This window comes from Homo sapiens, chromosome 7 (genome assembly GCF_000001405.40).
Source record: "Homo sapiens chromosome 7, GRCh38.p14 Primary Assembly".
Taxonomy (NCBI): domain Eukaryota; kingdom Metazoa; phylum Chordata; class Mammalia; order Primates; family Hominidae; genus Homo; species Homo sapiens.
Window position 1 is genome coordinate 79,911,696 of NC_000007.14, and position 7,087 is coordinate 79,918,782.

Consider the following 7,087-nt stretch of genomic DNA (forward strand, 5'->3'; position numbering starts at 1 on the left):
TACGAATTGGGATGACTTGCTGCTGGTTTGGGTAGTTTTAAGCTTGTCTCTGAGGAAGCCTGGAAGTCAAATACTGATCTTTGAACAAGAAGGAAATGAAATAAACTAGCTGTCTATGTATAATGTGCAGCATGAAGTCTGAAATTCCCCTGGAGACATGCTGTACTAGCTTGTTATCTGTACTGCTTAGTGAAAATGTATAGATTGACAGTTATACATGATTTAATAAGTCATAAAGCCTAGGTTTTATCTAAGTGATAGGTGTGGTGTAAAAGACTACTTAGCAAATTTGTACCTTGGCATTAGTGAAGCTAATTAACTCACAGATTAAATCAGGTATCTTTTTTGAAAAAAATGATGCCTAATAGTTGCACATATTTTGGGGGTACTGTGATATTTTGAAACCTGAAAAATTTGGAATGCTTCATAAATTTTCATGTCATTCTTGTGTAGAAGCCATGCTAATCTTCTCTGTATCATTCCAGTTCTAGTATGTGCTGTCGAAGCAAGTACAAAACCAAAATATCTTGTATTTACCTTGGTGGCTCATAAACCGAAGATGAACCACATCCTATGTGAGTGAGATAGGACCCTACAGGGCTGCACTGATAAGTTATGTGCCTCTACGAATGTCTGCACTTTCTCTCTGTGGCTGTAACATATCTTTTACCTTTATAAAGCTTTACAAAACTATGTCCTGTGGGGTCCCGTGAGGACTTTCAATTATCTGGTAGTGTGTGACTTCTGTAGCAGCAGTTGCATTTGGAGTCAGCAGCTGGTTTTAAATAGAGGAAAAGAAGCAGCTGATGACAAACAGCCTACTGGAACAGAATATAATATGAAAATAAAATCAAACTGCACCTCCACTAAATAATGATTTCATACGTTTAAAAACCACCATTTCCTGTTGCTACAGAAGCAGAATCCTTGATATGAGAACTCAGAAAAGCCACCTGCTACCCACCAGCCACATAAAAGAAATATTTTCCTAGTCATTATTCTAGGAGAATGAAATATGGATAAGAAAAATAAAATCATGGCATTCATGAAAAACTGAAGATGAGGATCAAAACAGGTTCACAAATGAAAGCACATTAAGTGACACAGACAAAACCTGCTGAGAAGTAAGATTCTTGCCAGAATTTAAAATATAACAAAATAAGACATTGAAGATGTGAAAGAACATTTAAAAACGGAAATTACAAACTTTAAGAAGAGACAGGTAATCGATGTTAAATGGGAAAGAACAAAGCTTGGGAAAGAAAAAAAATCAAAATTAACTTGTAAATTAAGATTAAACATAAGATACCCAAAAGATAATAGAAACTACTTAAAGTGTAGTAAATGACATCAAGAGGATAGAAATGAGACCAAATGGACAAATGATACACTTAGAGAGGAATAAATAGAAGGTAGAAAGACAAAGAAGATGGAATGTACATAACCAGCAAAGAAAATACAATTTCCATGGGAAAAGAGTACCAAAAGAAGCAATAAAGAACAAAGCATAATCAAGCAAAGAAACAGATCTAATATTTTTTTAATTAGAATACAAAAAGCTCTCATTTTTAAAAATAACTGAATCTGCATGTAAAAAAGATGCACAGTGTGCCTGAGAAAATTGGCCTAGGATGTTAAACAGTAACACCATGTTCCTAACATTATAAGATTTTAAAGATAACAGGTAAAAACTATAGGCCTCCAATCAAAAACATCAATGCACTGACAAAGTAAAGAAAATTATATTGACATCAGACTTCTTGAGAGGAACGGTAATACAAGAAGATAATGGCACCGTATTTACCAGACACACATAGGAAGAAAATGTAAGGCAATAATGTTTTATCCAGCCAAGCTTTCTTTCAAGTATGAAGATTTTAAGAAAACAGTTTTAAACGTGCAAGAATTTAAGTTTATGAATCTTTCCTAAGCAATCTCCTAGAAAATATGATTAGACAACCAGGAGCTGATTGAAGAGATTGTATATAAAATTTTGGTATTAAGCATTGAGTAAGTAAAATTCTATATATAAAGAGAGAAGAAGAGATAGAGGAAGAGGGATGGAGAAAGAGAGGGAGAGAGGAAGGGGGTCACTGAGATTAAATAACAAATATATGCTTTACAAAATAGAGAGAGAAAACTAGGAACAGAAGAGAGAGAGAGAGAAATGGGGAAATAAAATGTTATAGAAGATTCCCTAATAAGTAGTGATTAGAAATCAAATGATAACATTTGAATGCAAGAAACTTGTGTACATTTAAGAGTAATAATATAGCAGTAAGAAAGATAATATGATTGATTAAAATTAAATGGTGAAGAAGAAGGAAGGAAGAGGAACTAAGTGAATGTTTTATTTGTTTCTTGTAGAAATCCACAGATACTCCTAAGGAAAATGGGGAATGAGATACTCACACAACAGTAAACATTATAACCAAAATATAAACTTTTCTATTACTTAAAAAGATAAAAACAAAAGAAAACAAAAAAGTAATTACTTAGTGAATAATTAATTATTATGTGTTTGTAGGCTTAGCTCATTAAAAGTAAAAAATTTCAGGTAGAATGACAGCAAAATGCAACTTTGTATTGTAGACAAGAGAATCCCTTAAAAAAGTTTGAGAGGCTACAAATCAAAGAATGGATGAAAAAATAACAAGCAAAACAACAAGAAAAGGAAAGCAAAGATAACAACTTCATATCAAACATAATTAAGGCTAAAAAGTATTAAATGAGAATAAGAGTTATTATATTATACCTTCACAGCAAAGATAAAACAGATATGAATCCCTAAATGTTATATAATATACAAACCATTTTTATAAAACAGAATCTACAGATGGTTCATTAGAAACACACTGAGGTAAGAGAATTTAATACAATAAAACCGTCTTAGGTCAAGAGTAAAAGGATTATGTGAGAATCTAGATAGAATCTATTTATATCTACATAATTTATTGAGATATTCACCCCAATATTAAAAATATAGTTTCTAACCAATTGCACCTGAAAATATTTTGAAAAATAAAAATTATAGACCATAAAGAATATCTCGACAGATTACACAAAATTGAAAAGGAAACAATGTTCACTGACCAAAATACAACCTTTTACATAGAGATTCAATGACCCTCTATAAAACAAGACCTTATGGGATATAGTTAAGACAGTACTTGAAAGAAAATTCATAGCTAAAAATATTCATTTTATTTAAAAATGAAAGAGTGAAAACAGTAAATTAAACATCCCACTCAAAATGTCAGGGGCCAGAAAAGGCAAACCAAAAGAAAGAGAAGAAAGGAATTCATAAAGATAAAAGAAGGGAAAAATTAACTAGAAAAAAAGTGACAAATAATTCTTTTTTAACAAAACAGGCTCAATTCCCTTCCAAGATGGCCGAATAGGAAGAGCTCCGGTCTGAAACTCCCAGCGTGATCGACACAGAAGATGGAGGATTTCTGCATTTCCAACTGAGGTACCTTGTTCATCTCACTGGGACTGGTTGGACACTGGGTGCATCCCACGGAGGTTGAGCCAAAGCAGGCCAGGGCATTACCTCAGCCAGGAAGCACAAGGGGTCAGGGAATTTCCCTTTCCTAGCCAAGGGAAGCCATGACAGATGGTACCTGGAAAAATGGGACACTCCCTCCCAAATACTGCACTTTTCCAGTGGTCTTAGTAAAAGGCACACCAGGAGATTATATCCCATGCCTGGCTGGGTGGATCCCACCCTCAGGGAGCCTTGCTTACTGCTAGCACAGCAGTCTGAGATCGACCTGTGAGGCAGCAGCCTGGCAGGGGGAGAGGCGTCTGCCATTGCTGAGACTTGAGAAGGTAAACAAAGCAGCCAGGGAAGTTTGAACTGGGTGGAGCCCACCACAGCTCAGCAAGGCTAGCTGCCTTTGTAGTCTCTACCTGTGGGGGTAGGAGAAGCTGAACAAAAGGCAGCAGAAACTTCTGCAGACTTAAATGTCCCTGTCTGACAGCCCTGAAGAGAGCAGTGGTTCTCCCAGTACGGTGTTTGAGCTCAGAGAACGGACAGACTGCCTCCTCAAGTGGGTCCCTGACCCCCATGTAGCCTAACTGGGAGATACCTTTCAGTAGGGGCCAACTGACACCTCATACAGGCGGGTGCTCCTCTGGGACGAAGCTTCCAGAGGAGGGATCAGGCAGCAATATTTGCTGTTCTTCAATATTTGCTGTTCTGCAGCCTCCAATGATGATACCCAGGCAAACAGGGTCTGGAGTGGACCTCCAGCAAACTCCAACAGACGTGCAGCTGAAGGACCTGATTGTTAGAAGGAAAACTAACAAACAGAAAGGAACAGCATCAACATCAACAAAAAGGACACCCACACCAAAATGTTATCTGTAGGTCACCATCATCAAAGACCAAAGGTAGACAAAACCACAAAGATGGGGAGAAACCAGAGCAGAAAAGCTGAAAATTCTAAGAACTAGAGCACCTCTTCTCCTCCAAAGGATTGCAGCTCCTTGACAGCAACGGAACAAAGCCGGATAGAGAATGAGTTTGACAAGTTGACAGAAGTAGGCTTCAGAATGTCGGTAATAAAAAACTTCTCTGAGCTAAAGGAAGATGTTAGAACCCATTGCAAGGAAGTGAAAAACCTCGAAAAAAGATTAAATGAATGGCTAACTAGAATAAACACTGTAGAGAAGACCTTAAATGACCTGATGGAGCTGAAAACCATGGCACAAGAACTACATGACAGATGCACAAGCTTCAATAGCTGATTTGATCAAGTGGAAGAAAGAGTATCAGTGATTGAAGATCAAATTAATGAAATAAAGTGAGAAGAGAAGTTCAGAGAAAAAAGAGTAAAAAGAAATGAACAAAGCTTCCAAGAAATATGGGACTATGTGAAAAGACCACATCTACCTTTGATTGGTGTACCTGAAAGTAACGGGGAGAATAGAACCAAGTTGGAAAACACTCTGCAGGATATTATCCAGGAGAACTTCCCCAACCTAGCAAGACAGGCCAACATTCAAATTTAAGAAATACAGAGAACACCACAGAGATACTCCTCGAGAAGAGCAACCCCAAGACACATAATTGTCAGATTCACAAAAGTTGAAATGAAGGAAAAAATGTTAAGGACAACCAGAGAGAAAGGCCGGGTTACTCACAAAGGGAAGCCCATCAGAATAACAGCGGATCTCTCGGCAGAAACTCTACAAGCCAGAAGAGAGTAGGGGCCAATATTCAACATTCTTAAATAAAAGAATTTTCAAGCCAGAATCTCATATCCAACAAAACTAAGCTTCAGAAATAAAGGAGAAATAAAATCCTTTACAGACAAGCAAATGCTGAGAGATTTTGTCACCACCAGGTCTGCCATACAAAAGCTCCTGAAGGAAGCACTAAACATGGAAAGGAACAACCGGTACCAGCCACTGCGAAAACATGCCAAATTGTAAAGACCATCGAAGCTAGGAAGAAACTGCATCAACTAACGGGCAAAATAACCAGGTGACATAAAAATGACAGGATCAAATTCACACATAACAATATTAACCTTAAATATAAATGGGCTAAATGCCCCAATTAAAAGACACAGATGCAAATTTGTTAAAGAGTCAAGACCCATCAGTGTACTGTATGCAGGAGACCAATCACTTGCAGAGACACACATAGGTTCAAAATAAAGGGATGGAGGAAGATCTACCAAGCAAATGGAAAGCAAATAAAAGCAGGGGTTGCAATTCTAATCTCTGATAAAACAGACTTTAAACCAACAACGATCAAAAGAGACAAGGCCACTACATAATGGTAAAGGGATCAATTAAACAAGAAGAGCTAACTATCCTAAATATATATGCACCCAATACAGGAGCACCCAGATTCATAAAGCAAGTCCTTAGAGACATACAAAGAGACTTAGACTTTCACACAATAATAATGGGAGATTTTAACACCCCACTGCCAGTATTAGACAGATCAATGAGACAGAATGCTAACAAGGATATCCAGGACTTGAACTCAGCTCTGCACCAAGCAGACCTAATAGACATCTACAGAACTCTCCACCCCAAATCAACAGAATATGCATTCTTCTAAGCACCACATCACACTTATTCCAAAATTGACCACATAGTTGGAAGTAAAGCACTCCTCCGCAAATGTAAAAGAACAGAACTCACAACAAACTGTCTCTCAGACCACAGTGCAATCAAATTAGAACTCAGAATTCAGAAACTCACTCAAAACCACACAACTACATGGAAACTGAACAACCTGCTGCTGAATGACTAGTGGGTAAATAATGAAATGAAGGCAGAAATAAAGATCTTTGAAACCAATGAGAACAAAGACACAACATACCAGAACCTCTGGGACACATTTAAAGCAGTGTGTAGAGGGAAATTTATACCACTAAATGCCCACAAGAGAAAGCAGGAATTATTTAAAATCAACACCCTAACATCACAATTAAAAGAACTAGAGAAGCAAGAGCAAACACATTCAAAAGCTAGCAGAAGGCAAGAAATAACTAATATCAGAGCAGAACTGAAGGAGACAGAGACACAAAAAACCCTTCAAAAAATTCAATGAATCCAGGAGCTGGTTTTTTGAAAAGATCAACAAAATTGATAGACCACTAGCAAGACTAATAAAGAAGAAAACAGAAAAGAATCAAATAGACACAATAAAAAATGATAAAGGGCCTATCACCACTGATCCCACAGAAACACAGAGAACACTATAAACAGCTTTATGCAAATAAACTAGACAATCTAGAAGAAATGGGTAAATTCCTGGACCTATACACCCTCCCAAGACTAAATCAGGAAGAAGTTGAATCCCTGAATAGGCCAATAACACGCTCTGAAATTGAGGCAATAATTAATACCCTACCAACGAAAAAAAGTCCAGGACCAGACAGATTCACAGCTGAATTCTACCAGAGGTACAAGGAGGAGCTGGTACCATTCCTTCTGAAACTATTTCAATCAATAGAAAAAGAGGGAATCCTCCCTAACTCATTTTATGAAGCCAGCATCATCCTGATACCAAAGCCTGGCAGAGAGACACAGCAAAAAAAAAGAGAATTTTAGACCAACATCC

General features: G+C 37.2%; 1 pseudogene, besides 1 other annotated feature; it reads right to left on the reverse strand.

The window, feature by feature from the left end:
• On the reverse strand, positions 409–513 carry RNU6-849P (RNA, U6 small nuclear 849, pseudogene; annotated as a pseudogene).
• Positions 2,933–4,132: an enhancer, noted in NCBI's record as "MED14-independent group 3 enhancer chr7:79543944-79545143 (GRCh37/hg19 assembly coordinates)". NCBI's record gives its function as "activates an origin of replication core promoter dependent on BRD2, BRD4, P300/CBP and CDK7 cofactors, and independent of MED14, by STARR-seq in HCT116 cells {active_cell/tissue: HCT116}" and the evidence as "EXISTENCE:reporter gene assay evidence [ECO:0000049][PMID:35650434]".